General features: G+C 35.2%; 1 protein-coding gene across 57 annotated transcripts in view; it reads right to left on the bottom strand.

Moving 5' to 3' along the window:
* Nucleotides 1-16018, bottom strand: part of PAM (peptidylglycine alpha-amidating monooxygenase) — a 276323-nt gene that overhangs the window by 18363 nt on the left and 241942 nt on the right. For all 57 annotated transcript variants that reach the window (NR_033440.1, XM_024446066.2, NM_001319943.1 and 54 more), the window contains 5 exons: nucleotides 9594-9710; nucleotides 7517-7589; nucleotides 5732-5942; nucleotides 5086-5286; nucleotides 2877-2992 (listed from right to left, as the gene is read on the bottom strand). Coding sequence is in view for 56 of the 57 variants with exons in the window: in XM_024446066.2 (XP_024301834.1) it covers nucleotides 2877-2992; nucleotides 5086-5286; nucleotides 5732-5942; nucleotides 7517-7589; nucleotides 9594-9710 (718 nt within the window). In the remaining variant the exon portion in view is untranslated. The remainder of the gene's footprint in view (nucleotides 1-2876; nucleotides 2993-5085; nucleotides 5287-5731; nucleotides 5943-7516; nucleotides 7590-9593; nucleotides 9711-16018) is intronic.

The following is a 16018-nucleotide window of genomic DNA, read 5'->3' as shown; positions in this document are numbered from 1 at the left end:
CTGGGACTACAGGCGCCCACCACTATGCCTGGCTAATTTTTTTTGTATTTTTAATAGAGACAGGGTTTCACCGTGTTAGCCAGGATGGTCTCGATCTCCTGACCTCATGATCTGCCCGTCTCAGCCTGCCAAAGTGCTGGGATTACAGGCGTGAGCCACCGCGCCTGGCCCAGTGAACTCATTTTTCACAAAGTTTCCAAGAACATACACTGGGGAAAGAACAGTCTTTTCAATAAATGGTGGTGGGAAAACTGGATATCCACATGCAGACGAATGATACTTGATCCCTATCTCTCACTTTACACAAAAATCAAGTCAAAATGGATTAAAGGCTTAAATCTAAGACCTCAAACTGTGAAGTTACCACAAGAAAACATTGGGGAAACACTTCAGGACATCTGTCTGGGCAAAATTGTTTTGAGTAATACCCCACAAGCACAGGCAACCAATGCAAAAATCAACAAATGGGATCGCATCAAGTTAAAAAGTGTCTGCACAGCAAAGGAAACAATCAACCACGTGAAGAGACAACCCACAGAATGAGGAAAAAAAATTGCAAACTACCCATCTAACAAGGGATTAACAACCACAATATATAAGGAGCTCAAACAACTCTATAGTAAAAAATCTAATAATCCAATTTAAAAAATGGGCAAAAGATTTGAATAGACATTTTTCAAAAGAAGACATACAAATGGCAAACAGACATATGGAAAAGTGCTCAACATCATTGATCATCAGAGAAATGCAAATCGAAACTACAATAAGATATCATCTAACACCAGTTAAAATGACTTTCATCCAAAAGTCAGGTGATAACAAATGCTGATGAGGATGTGGAGAAAAGGGAACCCTTGTATACTGTTGGTGGGAATGTAAATTAGTAAAACTATATAGAACAGTTTGGAGGTTCCTTAAAAAACTAAAAGTAGAGCTATCATACAAGCCAGAAATCCCATTGCTGGTTATATGCCAAAAAGAAAGGAAATTAGTATATCAAAGAGCTAAATAAACTCCCACGTTTGTTGCAGCACTGTTCACAATAGCCAAGATTTGGAAGCAACCTAAGAGTCCATCAACAGATAAATGGATAAAGAAAATGTGGTACATATACACAATGGAGTATTATTCAGCCACAAAAAGAATAAGACTCTGTCATTTGCAATAACATGGATGGAACTGGAGATCATTATAGATGAAATAAGCCAGGCACAGAAAGACAAACATGACATGTTCTCAATTATTTGTGGGATCTAAAAATCAAAACAATTGAACTCATAGATGTATGGTACAGAAGGATGGTTACCAGAGCCTGGGAAGGGTATGGGACAGAGAGAGAGAGTGTGTGTGTGTGTGTGTGTGTGAGTGTGTGTTTGTGTGTGTGTGTATGTGTGTGTGGCGGGGGGTTAGGTGGCGGTGGTTAATCAGGATGATGGTTATTCATTCTGATTTAAAAAAATCAAAATAAACAACAAATATTTTTATTTTGCAGGTTTTACTTGCCACATGGCTTGAGTATAGATAAAGATGGGAATTATTGGGTCACAGACGTGGCTCTCCATCAGGTAGTCTTCCTTTTGGTAATATTCAAATTAGAAGCTAACAGAGTTATGCTTTTGAAGAGCTCTGGAGTTGTAAGGGTTTTTTGTTTGTTTGTTTTTTCTTCTGTCACCCAGTAAGTTATAACAAGAAAATAGAGATTTAAAAAAATCAGAATGAATAAGACCTAGTATTTGATAGCACAACAGTGTGACTATACTGAATAATAATTTAATTGTACATTTTAATATAACTGAAAGAGTAAATTGGATTGTTGTAACACAAAGGATAAATGCTTGAGGGGATGGATACCCAATTTTCTATGATGTGATTATTATTATTTTAGCACATTGCATACCTGTGCTAAAATATCTCATGTACCCCATAAATATAAACATGTACTGTGTAACCACAAAAATTAAAAATTAAAATTTAATTAAAAATATAATATTGAGGCATTTTAAAGTTTTTTAAATTAGCAAATCTGGTATCTTAAAAATAACATAACATTATAAGTGTCAAGATATAAACTTGGTTCAGTAGCTGATGATAGTTGTATTTTGATCCAATTAAAACCAATGAATCTTTACATGTTTTGAAGAATAACACTTATTTGTAGCATTTTAGCAGGCTGAATTTTCTAAATTTCATATACTCCAAGCACATTCATACAGTGTAGAGAACATTCTGATCACTCTGGCAATCATACTGCAGAGTAAGTACACTGAGAAGACAGAAGGGCCATGGGCACACTGAACACAGTTGCTGTGTTTATAAAAAGCACGTTAGAATAAACAGTGGGAAAACACTTTTGAAGCCAAAAGTAGCTTTTAGTTTCTTAACCAAATCTTTAGAACTTGAATAAATTCCAGGAAGTGCTATTTTCAAGTCTTGTTGCTTAGCACAGTCATAGCAATAAAGAAAGCAAACAAGATGTCTGTTGGGTCTAAGAGAACTTTAAGAGTACACTTAACATGTTGTGATGTTTTCTCTACTTGGATGAAACCAGAAAGCGACTGATTTATTTTTTGTATTCTAACTATAGTGAATTTAAAAACCTGCCATCATATGCAGGTGCAGTTCTACTAAGAACCTTAGAACTGCACACGTGCTAATTTGCATCTGAAGAAATTGATCTAGGAATAGACAAAGACATTTATTCTAAATAAAATATAAAATAAAAAATAAAATAGAACACTCCCATCAACCTTGCTAAGAAAGTTATCACATCTTCTTAAAAGTTTTTCTAAAGCTATTCAAGTACAGATTGAATGCCAAGATTTATATTTTAGTCTTCTTCTCATGAAAATTGAAACCTAGACAATGTGTGTAAATACCTTGCGCACTGGCTTGAAGATGTCTATAATTTCCCCATTGGAAAAGTTCATCACAAATCCTTGTACAGGTTCTTGGTCCCCAAAATGAGGCTTCCCATTCACTGCAAAGAGCAAGCCTGCAACAGCAAATCCAGTTAACCTTTCTTTAAAATATGGGTAAGAATGGACTTCTAATATATCCATGTATATTATGCAAAGAATAAATTTAGGGTCAACCTGGTCCCTACAATTGGCAACAAAAGTAGAATATAAAATACTTAGTGTCTCCTCCTGAGTAACCAGATCAGTGGCAAACTGGTTAGAGGACTAACCTCCTTGTGACAGGAAAATCGGGAACTGAAATGTGTGGTCCACTTGGAAAACCAGTAGAAATCAGAAATACATAGATATTGATATATAGATATAATACACATATATAGCTATTACAGGCATCCTAAATAGGAATTGGGGAAAGTCAGGTTATTTAGGCCAATAATTTTGGAGTCTCAGATCTTTTAAAAAATAAGTAATATTTGCCATAGCTACATGGAGAATCCAAGAGAAAATCAAAGAAAATAAGTGAAGTTACAGTCTATATAGAACAATCTGATTTTAAACAACTAGAATTTGAAAATGTGAGATGTATATTTCAGATTATCAAAGACATATTTTCCTTAATTAAAAAAGACCATCTTTTTAATTTTCACACCATGAATACTTTTTGTAGTAAAATTATATTTCTTAACACAATACTGTTTATTCAGAACAATGAAAATGGTGATGTTTACGTTAAATAAACAATTCAGATGATTGAACCACTACATTTTCAAAGAATTAAAACATAATAAATTATACACAATGCTAAGCCACCATTGAAGATATTTTCATCATTCTTGAAGGATTATAGTTTTCTAGGATGTACTATAAAAAACACTATAAACATCAATTACTATTGTGCAAAATTATAGAGAAAATTATCTTTTGCTTAGATTCTGTTCTTAACCATATTCCTTCTCAACTGATAATTTTCTTCTTATATTTAATTTATTTTTGTTTATTATGAACTTGATCACCCTCTTAATTAAGTAAAGGGTCCTGACAAATTTTTCTTTAAATGTGCGGCAAACCAACCTAAAGAATGATAGTTGTGAGAACCTCTTATTACTTTTTCTTTATTCCTTGAGGAAGCCAAATTTGCTCTCTATCAATCACCTGAGTCCCTTGATTTTATGTCCTAAATAATTTGGGGGGCTGCTTGGTCCAGATAGTAGCCATATGCAACTTATAAGAAACATAAATATTACAGTAATACCTATAAATAGTCAATGCTGCTTTAATACAGGTATAGATGTTTTTATTAAAATATGTTGTGCCCTTTAATTGTGAATTTTTCAAAAATTCCTCGTTATTGATCTCATTTCACTTCATTGTGAAAAGAGCATATTTTAAATGTTTTCACCATAAAACATAAGTATGTGAGGTGATGGGTTTGCTAATTAGCCTTACTTAGTCATTCCACATTGTAAACATACATCAAAATATCACATTGTACTCTACAAATATATACAATTACTATGTCAATTACAATTTAAAAAAATTGTAATTGTATGTAAATTTCAGAAATTAAATATATTTTCATTATTTAAAGAAAATATGGTAAGTTGTTTTGTAATATAAGTTATATGTATTTTATTAGTCTGAATTATTTTTCAGATTTTCTTAGAGTCAAGAAAATCTATTTTGAAAATGAGAAAAAAGTTCAAGATTTTATTGATTATTTATCCTGGTATTTAGGCATAAGCCACACTTATTTTTACATATTTTATCTTTAAAAAAATTGGTCACTACTGTTTTTAAAAATGTGAAATGAGTATTTTGAATACTGATTTTATCAGACATATACCATTTGTCGATGTGTGAAGACAAATATTAATTATTTAATACTGGAGCAGATGATCATAATTAAGATAAAATGAAAATCAATGTTTGGGAACATTTTTAACCCCTTACAAACAGGTGTTAAATCCTTTGAGTTCTTCATTGTTTCTGTACAATGAATAGTGGTACCTTAATCAAAACTGAGTTAGAACACACTAACAGTTGTAAGATACTTTTAAGATGTGAAATATATAGCAAAGAAAATTTATAAAAAGAGCACATTAAGATAACACAATTTTTAAGGATAGAGTACAGTAGGACAGAAGACAACAAACATATTAAGATGAAATACCTGGTATATATGAAATTGCAAATACATTTCTTCCAAATGATGAATGCTTAATCTCTCTCACAAATTCTTTGGTGTCAGTTTTAAAACACTGGATCCGACCATTTTCCCGGTCTGCCACACATAATTGGCCCAAAAGAGGCACAAGAGCCAAGCTGTGAGGAACAGTGAACTGGCCTGGCAGAGGACTGCTCCCTGAAGACTCTGCAGAACAAAAAAAAGCCTTAGATACACAATGTTAAAAATCACCCAAAGTTTGACTCTCTAGTATGTTTCTAAATTCATGATAGTAAACCATTAAATGCCTGGAGCCAGGGGAAAGATAAGGTAAAGCAGTTTATAAGATTATTTTATAATGTCTTTTATCCACAAATACATTACAGATTTTCTCCCTATTTGGATAGTTGTTTGGTGGATACATTATTTTCCTTACAAGACGTGTGTGTGTGTGTGTGTGTGTGTGTGTGTATGTATATGTGTGTGTGTGTGTGTGTGAGAGACAAGCTAACTGGATGCATACAATGACCCAGGTTACAATGACCCTGTAGGGGACAATTACAGCTTAAAGAATGTGAGTGTTGGCCAATATTTAGTTCCCAGTGATACTGGCTAAGAATTACAACTGGAGATTAAGAGTCTTATTGGGTACCTTCTCCCCACTGTGTGATGAACTTTCCACTTGGTGAAAACTGCACAATCCTGCTGTTGCAGTAACCATCTGATACATAAATGGCTCCAGTGCCTGGATCCACAGCCACATCAGTGGGTTGACAGAAGTGATTCTGGTCACTGCCTGGTTGCATGCTCCTTCCCAGGATTAATACAGGGCCTTCTTTATTGTTTGGATCCAGTTTGAACACCTTTTTAAAAAGGAACAAAAGCCTTACCTACTTTTCATGGTTATTAGTGACTTACACCCACATGACTAAGACCACTTTCACAAGCAATTGGAGTAGAAGCTCCCAGAGACTTATTTAAAAGAAGGTATTAATACTTGTTAGAACTGAACGGGATCCTAGAAATCATCTGGTCTGGTTCCTTCATTTGATAATAAAGCCTATGAAGATTAAATGATTTGCTCAAGGTCACGCGGTTAATTAGTAGTGAATGGAGACTAGTACATGGATACCCAGTTCTGTCCACCCTGATGTTTCCTTTTTGTCTTTCCTTAGATAATACTACAATGCACTCCAGATAATACATGAGCAATAAATGTTTACTGAGATGATGTTTTCCAAGTTATTTGCCACCTATTCATGAAAAGCATATTACGCTTGATATAACTTCTTTTAAAAATAACACAAATTTCACTTTTTATATATAAATATACATTTACTAGAGGCCTAGCCTCAATTTATAGAAGATTAAGGTAGTTTAAGAAAAAAACATAAAAAAATAAGTAAAAAAATAGAAATAAGACTTAGGCCCAGACACGATGGCCACACCTGTTAATTACAGCACTTTGCAAGGCTGAGGTAGGTGGATTGCATGAGTCCAGGAATTCAAGACCAGCCTGGGCAACCTGGCAAAATCCCATCTCTACAAAAAATTTAAAAAAATTAGCCAAGTATGCTGGTGTGTGACTGTGGTCCCAGCTACTTGGGAGGCTAAGGTGGGAGGATCACCTCAGCCTGGGAGGTGGAGGCTGTAGTGAGCCAAGATCGTGCCACTGCATTCCAGCCTGAGGGACAGAGTGAGACCCTGTCTCAAACAACAACAACAACAGCAACAACAACAACAACAACAACAACAAGTTAGGAACAGAGGAAATAAAGGCAAATACAGACAGTTAAGAAAATGGTTGGGAGGGCCCATGTAGTTATTTGAGTGAAGCTTCATATCTGGTCCAAGGGACAAATGTGACTTCATCATTTACATACTAGCTTTCCCTAGCATTGAGTTCTAAGAGAAATATTTCAGATGTGGATTGTTATGGACTGAATGTTTGTGCCTCAAATCCAAATTCACATGTTGAAATCCTAACCCCCAATATGATGGTAATATGAAGCAGGGCCTTTGGGAGGTAATCAGGACAAAAGGGTAGAGTTCTCATGAATGGGATTAGTGCCATAAGAAGAGATAACAGAGATTACTGTCACTCTTATCTCTCTGGCCATGCAAGGATACTATGAGAAATTAGCAGCCTATAACCCAGAAGAGGGCCCTCACTAGAACTCAACCATGCTGGCACCCTGTTCTTGAATTCCAGACTCCAGACCTGTGAGAAACAAATTTCTGTTGTGTATAAGCCACCCAGACTATAGTACTTTGTTATAACATGCTGAACTAAGACATGGCTGCTCTATTTTCTTGTTATAACTTACTGGGTGACAGAAGAAAAAACAAACAAACAAAAAACCCATACAACTCCAGAGCTCTTCAAAAGCATAACTCTGTTAGCTTCTAATTTGAATATTACCAAAAGGAAGACTACCTGATGGAGAGCCACGTCTGTGACCCAATAATTCCCATCTTTATCTATACTCAAGCCATGTGGCAAGTAAAACCTGCAAAATAAAAATATTTGTGTTAATTACACATTTACTCTCAAGGCATATGTGACAGAAATTTTTCTAATTAATCTGTAAAGACAATGCAAAGTTATAAATTGATAAATGTATACTTGCATTATTATAGAAAAGAACAAAATGAATAGTTAATAAAAACTGTTATAATGAGATCTCCTTGTGACAAACCTTAGGTAGTATTTAATAGTATTAAAATTTATAAATTAAGCCTACATATAAATTACAAATGTTTATTATAAAGTATGGTATATTAGAGAAAACAGTATCAGTTTAAAAACAGGTTCTGAGGTCATAAGTGTTAACATCTTACAAATATGTATAAAACTGACTTAAGAAACATAAATGGATTGATATAGTTTGCGGTTAAAACATGTTGCAAGGAAATGTAATGTGTTAATATAAACTATTAGACATATAACTCAAAGGCTTTAAAGAGTGCCTATTAAAGACAGTAAAACCCACAGCACATAACCTCCAGCCAACATGGGCTGTGAATATCTAAGCAAAGTGAAATAGTGAGCTAGATAAACATTAGAGAAGGTTAATCTGGCAAATCAATCTTAATGATCTAGGTAAGGAACCTGGACTGAGCTAACAGACACATGGACAATACATTGAGGTGGTTTGGTCCAATGATATCCGACAATCCAATAGCTCTGTTAGCTTCTAATCTTAGTGTAGTGTTGACAATACAGATTTTTTTTCATAAGCCATAACTGTAACACTCTGATTTTGACTAATTAGCTGAACTAGATCCCTGTTTTGACAACTGAATGTGAGGATTATGATTTGCTTTCAAACAGATACTCCACCGATGGCCAAGTTGATTTAGCAGTAGTTTTTCTGCCTTCCCCTTAATTCCTTTCTGGAATGAGGGTGCTTCTGGTGAATAAATAGAGCACCAATGAAACAGGTTCAAACATTTCACCCCTGACACACAATCTTGAGAATGCTGTTAAAAAATTCTAAGCATCATTATTATCATCTCCCAAGCAGCTGCACTCAAAACGGTGGCTATCCACCTTGCGAAGAAGCTAGCTTTCCCTGTGCTTAAGCAGATGGAGAAGGGTATAATTCCTGAAGCTGTCAAGTTACAATGGTTCAGGAGATCTGTAAGCAAGTGCCTCCCTCACTTCTTTCAATGACCATAAATATCAGTCAACTTTTTTTTTTTTTTGGCTGCCAAGTGCCATCTCGAAATAAGACTAAATAATGAGCAGTTTTCAAAGCCAAATTACATACGCATGATAAGGAATGCTAAAAATGACATTTGTTTAGTATTCACTTTGAGACGGAAAAAGAGAAGCTCTTTTACTTAATGGTGATTACTTGATGAGTTTGGTTGTCCTGAAGAATTTTTCTGCTGAAGAATTTTTTTGGATCATTAGATCTGGCTGAGCAGCAACTCACTTAATCAAGTATGTAAGATATATATTACATATGTAATATGTAACAAGCTTGACTACATATTAAAATCACCTGGGAACTTAAGATTATTAGCCCCACTCTATACAGAATCTAAATCTAATTTTTTAAAGGACAAATTGACAAATTTTAATTGTATACATTTATGGGGTACAATGTGATGTTATGACATATGTATACAATGTGGAGAGATTAAATCAAGCTAATGAACATATCCATCACCTCAAATACCTAACATTTTTGAGGTGAGAACATTCCAAATATACTCATTTAGCAATTATGAAATAGGCAAGGACCTGAACAGACAGTTCTCAGAAGAAAACATACAAATGGCAAACAGATAAGTGAATCTAAATATTTTGAAGCTTCCCAGATGATTCTAATATTCAGTCAAGATTTAGAAACACCTATGTAGAAAATGAAAGATGGGATGGCCCAGTTAGTTTTCTGCTTTCTCAAGTGCAGTTATACAAAACACTCGAATTTCAAGACTCTATGATACACTTTATACTCAATATATGTAGTACAAGTCTTAACAACATAAGTCATTTAACTCACAGATTTTTTCCACTGGACTGGAGTACTGCAGCATTATTTGGATCTATGACAAGAATAGTGTCTTCTTCAATTGGTCCGAGTCCTATTTGCTGGTAAACAAACTTGCTGTCAAACGAGCTAAACAAAAAGCATTAAATAGGACATGAAACAATCATAAATTCCAATGAAATTGAGAAATGCAGACCATTCACATAAATACAAAATCAAAAGAGCTCAAATGTATTTGACTTCACTCTTTGTCTGCCACATTTCAGTCATTTGGATTATAATATACCCCATTAACCTGTAGAACCATGCTACTCAGGGTGGTCAGTGGAACGGAAGCATTGGCATTGCTGGGAAATGCAGTTTCAGACCTACTGGACCTGAATCTGCATTTTCACAAGACCCTTGGGTGGTTCCTATGCTCACTGGGGTTTGAGAAACATTGATCAAGAACTCTTAATGTACCTGAAAAATTTCAAAAGCTCTTCAAAAGAGTATGCAGTCATTCAATAGACATTTTCTTTCATATTGCAAAAGAAAATATGACTTATTTTAACTTTGTCATTAATTATAATAATAGCTGGAAGAGCAGTGATCAAAATGTTCGTTATTATACTTTAGGTACAACATGCATATACATATTATAGAGATATAAAAGAGGATGTTCAAAGTATTTAAAAGTTACAAAACCGAATCTATCCTCGAGACAAAAATATGCTTAGAGGCATAAAACTTACCAAATAACAGCTATTCTATAACTACAAAATGAACAACTATGCAATAATTAATTAAAAAACTTAAATATGACAATTTCTGCTTTTAAACTCAGTACCTTTTAGATTATTATAAAATATTATGGACATATATTCATATATATATACTTTCAAAATTATATTTCCATTTAAATTGTTAGTAATATAATTTCTTAAATTCACAATTATCACAGACATGGTACTTATTTCATTTTCTGTTTGGGAAGTTATATGTCAACAGGGATGAATGACAAAGATAAGCTCTTCTAATCTAAGCTTCTGTAATATAGAAGTAAATGTATGAAACAACAAGAAACCAAGTTATCTTCTCAAAAAAGGATTGGATCAGTACATAGTTGAGGGGGGTGTGTGTGTATGTGTGTGTGTGGGTGTGTATGTGTGTGTGTTTATAAATATACATATCAAGTCAATAAATGACTTATGAATATTTCTGTAAAACAGAATTGCCTTTATAGCATCAGGCAAGATTGTGAAAAAAGTATTAATATTTTGTAGTGCAACTGGTTAAGCAAAAGAAGAATCTGAATAACATTAAATATTTGCTATTATATATTTGCAATTTGGGAAGGTAACAGACTGCTTGGATCTGTCATGAATCCATTCATCAGTTGGCTGCCATATTTATGGAACTTATGTAGAGTCTCAGTACTCTACATAAATAGGAGAACAAAAAAAAATTCTTAAATTATATTCTTTGGCCATTAAAAAATACACCACACAATTATCTGAGCTACTTGACTGTTACAGTCTTTTGGGTATAGTTTTCCTGAAAGACAACAATAAGTCCCTGAAGTAGTTCTTATTAATGATGCATTCAATTGAACACAAAATATTGATTCAGCTTTGTCAATCTAAAACTTCAGTAATACTCTTTATATATGCTATTATATGCAGTTAAAAACCACACAGTGGTATCTAGAAAAAAATAAATTTATGAAATGGAAGTATCATCATTAACAAAACAGATTTCATAAGATATTTATGGGGTCATTATCAACTGAAATGTGAAATTTTATTAGATAGGAACCAATGTAAGAATACTCATAGTATTATTAAATTATGGGAAAATGGTAAAGGGAAAATATGAAGTCACTCTTGCTAGTATGAAACACCAAATAATTTATCCTATATCTGAAAGTTTATTTTCAATATGAATTTATTTACTAAAAACATCATAACTATTCCTCTGAAAAACATAGGTACTGGATTCAACCATTAATAATCTTTTATTTTTCCAAGGTGACTATAATAATGACTAACAAGTTCAGCACATCTGAGACTCAGTATATTGTAACCTTCACATTCATATGTAATAGGTTAAAGTTTCTTCATTCACTATCTCTTTTTAAGGTTTGATATGGTTTGGCTGTGTCCCCACCCAAATTGTGTGGTGTATTTTTTAATGGCCAAAGAATATAATTTAATAATTTTTTTTTGTTCTCCTATTTATGTAGAGTACTGAGACTTTACATAAGTTCCATAAATTCAAGTCTTATTTTGAATTGTAGTTTCCATAATCCCCACATGTCATGGGAGGGACTTGGTGGAAAGTAATTGAATCATGGGGTGGTTACCCCCTTTCTGCTGTTCTCATGATAGTGAGTTCTCATGAGATCTGATAGTTTTATAAGGAGCTTTTCCCCCTTTTGCTTGGCACTTCTCCTTCTTGCCATCATGTGAAGAAGGACGTGTTTGCTTCCCCTTCTGAAGCAATCTGCCTGATTGTAAGTTTCCTGAGGCTCCTCCAGCCATGCTGAACTGTAAGTCAATTAAACTTCTTTCCTTTATAAATTACCCAATCTTGGGTATGTCTTTATTAGCAGTGTGAGAAGGAACTAATACAGGAAATTGGTACCAGAAATAGGGTGCTGCCATAAAGATACACAAAAATGTGGAAGTGACTTTGGAACTGGGTAATAGGCAGAAGTTAGAACAATTTGGAGGGCTCAGAAGAAGACAGGAAGATGTCAGAAAGTTTGTAACTTTCTAGAGCCTTGTTGAATGGCTTTGACAAAAATGCTGATAGTGATATGAACAATGAAGTCCAGGCTGGCATGGTCTCAGATGGAGATGATAAGCTTGCTAGGAACTGGAATAAAGGTCTTGCTATGTTTTAGCAAACAGACTGTTGGCATTTTGCCCCTGCCCTAGAGATCTGTGGAACTTTGAACTGAAGAGAGATGATTTAGGTGGAAGATGATCTGGTGGAAGAAATGTCTAAGCAGCAAAGCATTCAAGGTGTAACTTGAGTGCTCATAAGAGCATTCAGTTTTATTAATTCACAAAGATATGGTTTGAATTGGAACGTATGTTTAAAAGGGAAGCAGAGCATAAAGGTTTGGAAAATTTGCAGCCTGATGATGTGATAGAAAAGAAAAACCCATTTTCTGAGGAGATATTCAAGCCAGCTGCAGAAATTTGCATAAGTAACGAGGAGCCAAAAGTTACTTGTCAAAACAATAGGGAAAATGTCTCCAGGGCATATGAGAGGTCTTCACAGCAGCCCCTTCCATCACAGACCCAGTGGCCCAGGAGGAAAAAATGGTTTGGCTAGGCCTAGGGCCTTGCTGCTCTGTGCAGCCTCAGGACTTGGTGCCTTGTGTCCTAGGACTTGGCTAAAAGAGGCCAAGGTATAGCTTGGGCCTTGGCTTCAGAGGGTGCAAGCCCCAAGCCTTGGCAGCTTCCATTTGGTGTTGAGCCTGTGGGTGCACAGAAGTCAAGAACTGAGGTTTGGGAACCTCTGCCTAGATTTCAGAAGATGTGTGGAAATGCCTGGAGGTCCAGGAAGAAGTTTTCTGCAGGGGAGGAACCCTCACTAAGAACCTCTGCTAGGGCAGTATGAAAGTGAAATGTGGGGTGAGAGCCCCCACGAAGAGTCTCCACTGGTGCACTGCCTAGTGGAGCTGTGAGAAGAGGGCCACCATTCTCCAGACCTTGGAATGTTAGATCCACCCACGGCTTGCACCATGTGCCTGGAAAGGCAACAGACACTCAATGCCAACTGTGAAAGCAGCTGAGAGGAGGTCTGTACACTGCTCAGCCACAGGGATGGAGCTGCCCAAGGCTGTGGGAGCCCACCTCTTGCATCACTGTGACCTGGATGTGAGACATGCAGTCAAAGGATATCATTTTGGAGCTCTAAGATTTGACTGCCCCGCTGGATTCTGGACTTGGATGGGGCCTGTAGCCTCTTCATTTTGGCTGAATTCTCCCATTTGGGAGGGACCTGGTAGAAAGTAATTGAATCATGGGGGTGGTTACCCCATGCTGCTGTTTTCTGATAGTCAGCAGGTTCTCATGCGATCTGGTGGTTTTATAAAGGGCTTTTCCCACTTCTGCTCAGCACTTCTTCCTGCCATCATGTGAAGGACGTTTTTGCTTCCCCTTCTACCTGATTGTAAGTTTCCTGAGGCTTCACCAGCCATGCTGAACTGAGTCAATTAAACCTCTTTCCTTTATAAATTACCCAGTCTCAAGTATGTCTTTATTAGCAGCATGAGAAGGAACTAATGCAAGGTTTAAGTCTCACATTCCTCATTATTCAGAAACATTTCAGTGCTTTGTAAAGGCACAATGGCAATCTAAATAATGTGAAAATTATGCTTCTGCTATTAAGAGTTAAAACCTTTCCCCCTCTTTTTTTAATGGAAATTTTAGTTAAGATAATTGTAGATGCATATTCAGTTGTAAGAAATAAAAACAATTCTGTGTGCACTTTACCCAGTTTCTCCATTTTGCAAAACTATATATAACATCACTACATATAATAAAACTATATATAATATTTTCATTTATTCTTAGTTTATTTCCTTGGAATATACTAGTACATTACTTTTCTACCCCATCCCGACCTGTGGAATATGAAAAGTTACTGATTCATAATTCCAATTCATAATTCTTGCCAAGTGCTATCTACTTTATATGTAGATTGTGAGTTCTGACTCACCACTGACAGCTAATAATAGTGGCAGTCCAAATGCCTATTATATATCCTCGTATTAGACCTCAGCACACATAATTCCACATCTTCCCCTCTCTGCAGAATGACAAAACATTAGGGAAACCTGATATATTTACTTGCCCCCATGGTTTCTCCAAGAATGGGATGCAGTATTTCTGTAAGATAACTGCCCCTTTGATCTGTCTTGTCATTCATGTAAATATTCACCATCATTCCTAAATCTCTGGTCATATTATTTTAGGAAATAGCACTCCTACAATTTATTGATGAGGAGAAAGTAAAAAGGTTTCCCTCCCTCTCCAGGAGCATACACTGAACTTCTGTAACTTAAAGCATTTCTTATAGGTCCAGATTATTTCTCTAGATGCTCAAATATTTCAAAGTGTAAACTATAGGTTAAATTACTCACTGACAGCCATGTAAGATTAGAGTCTCAGAGTCACAGACCTGAAATGCTGGGCTTGGCTTCCAAGAAAACAAGCTGCATTAAGGAGTAAATATAAATAACAGACCCACAGTCCTTGTGCCAGTCAGGTCAAATGGAAATGTTGCAGTTGATAAGTAGGTAAGTGAAAAACATCCTCTATCAATGGCATTGTTCTGCACTGCACACAAATGTAGAAAAAAATGTGTCAAGTAATTGATATTGTGCTGCCACAAACACTGTTTCTGTATGGACATTTATATTCATAATATAGAACTTTCAAGTTTCCAGTGGTGGCAGCAAATAGTAAAATTAACTAATTTGAGGATCATCTAATTCTATTTCATTATCCACTTTTTGGTGTTGTAATAGAAAATTTTGACATAGCAAATGAAGGAATGAGAAGAAAAATAGCAAATGAAGGAATGGGAAGAAAAATAAGGAACAAACAAAATAAGACAGAGTAAGTAAATCAGAGTAATTTTTTTTTTTGAGACAGGGTCTCTGTTGCTCAGGTTGGAGTGCAGTGGCATGATCACGGCTCATGGGAGCCTCAACCTACCAGACTCATGTGATCCTCCCATCTCAGCCTCATGAGTGTAGCTGGGACCACAGGTGCACACCACCATGCCTAGATAATTTATTTTTTGTTGAGATGGGGGTCTCCCTATATTGACCAGGCTGATCTTGAACTTCTGGGCTCAAGCAATTCTCCCAACTCCACCTCCCAAAGTTCAGATATTTACAATTAAAAGTTGGATCCTTAAAAAAAATTGTCTTGCAACATATCAAGATATCTTTCCCAGTATCTTGTTACAATGTAACAACTAATTATCTGGGTCTTTTTAGGTTTCGTTTGCTATCACAAATTACACTCATGTCATCTATATGTATAAAGGGCATTTTATGTTTGCTTAAGACTAGCTACTTTTCCATAGCTTTATGATTATTATTCATATTATTACTATACTTTCACTGTTAAGAATATCAGTGATAACACAAATTCTAGAATTTACTGATTAGAGAATCTGTTCATTTAACTACCACCCCTCAAAAACAAAGTAAAAAATGACACAAAGCTAACAAAACATAACAAAATCCAAAGATAAAACACTCTACTTATATATACAGCTCATTTAAATGTAGTAATTTACTTCCATAATGTAAATAACAAATAAGAAAAACCCAGAATTCTTAGGAAGAATGTAGCTTTAAAGGAATTAATCACTACATAATAGGCCTGACCAGTTCATTTAAAATCATTGTGATGTTTTTTAACAGA

The sequence above is a fragment of the Homo sapiens genome, chromosome 5, assembly GCF_000001405.40.
Source record: "Homo sapiens chromosome 5, GRCh38.p14 Primary Assembly".
NCBI classification, from domain to species: domain Eukaryota; kingdom Metazoa; phylum Chordata; class Mammalia; order Primates; family Hominidae; genus Homo; species Homo sapiens.
This window is presented reverse-complemented; position numbering and strand designations above follow the sequence as displayed.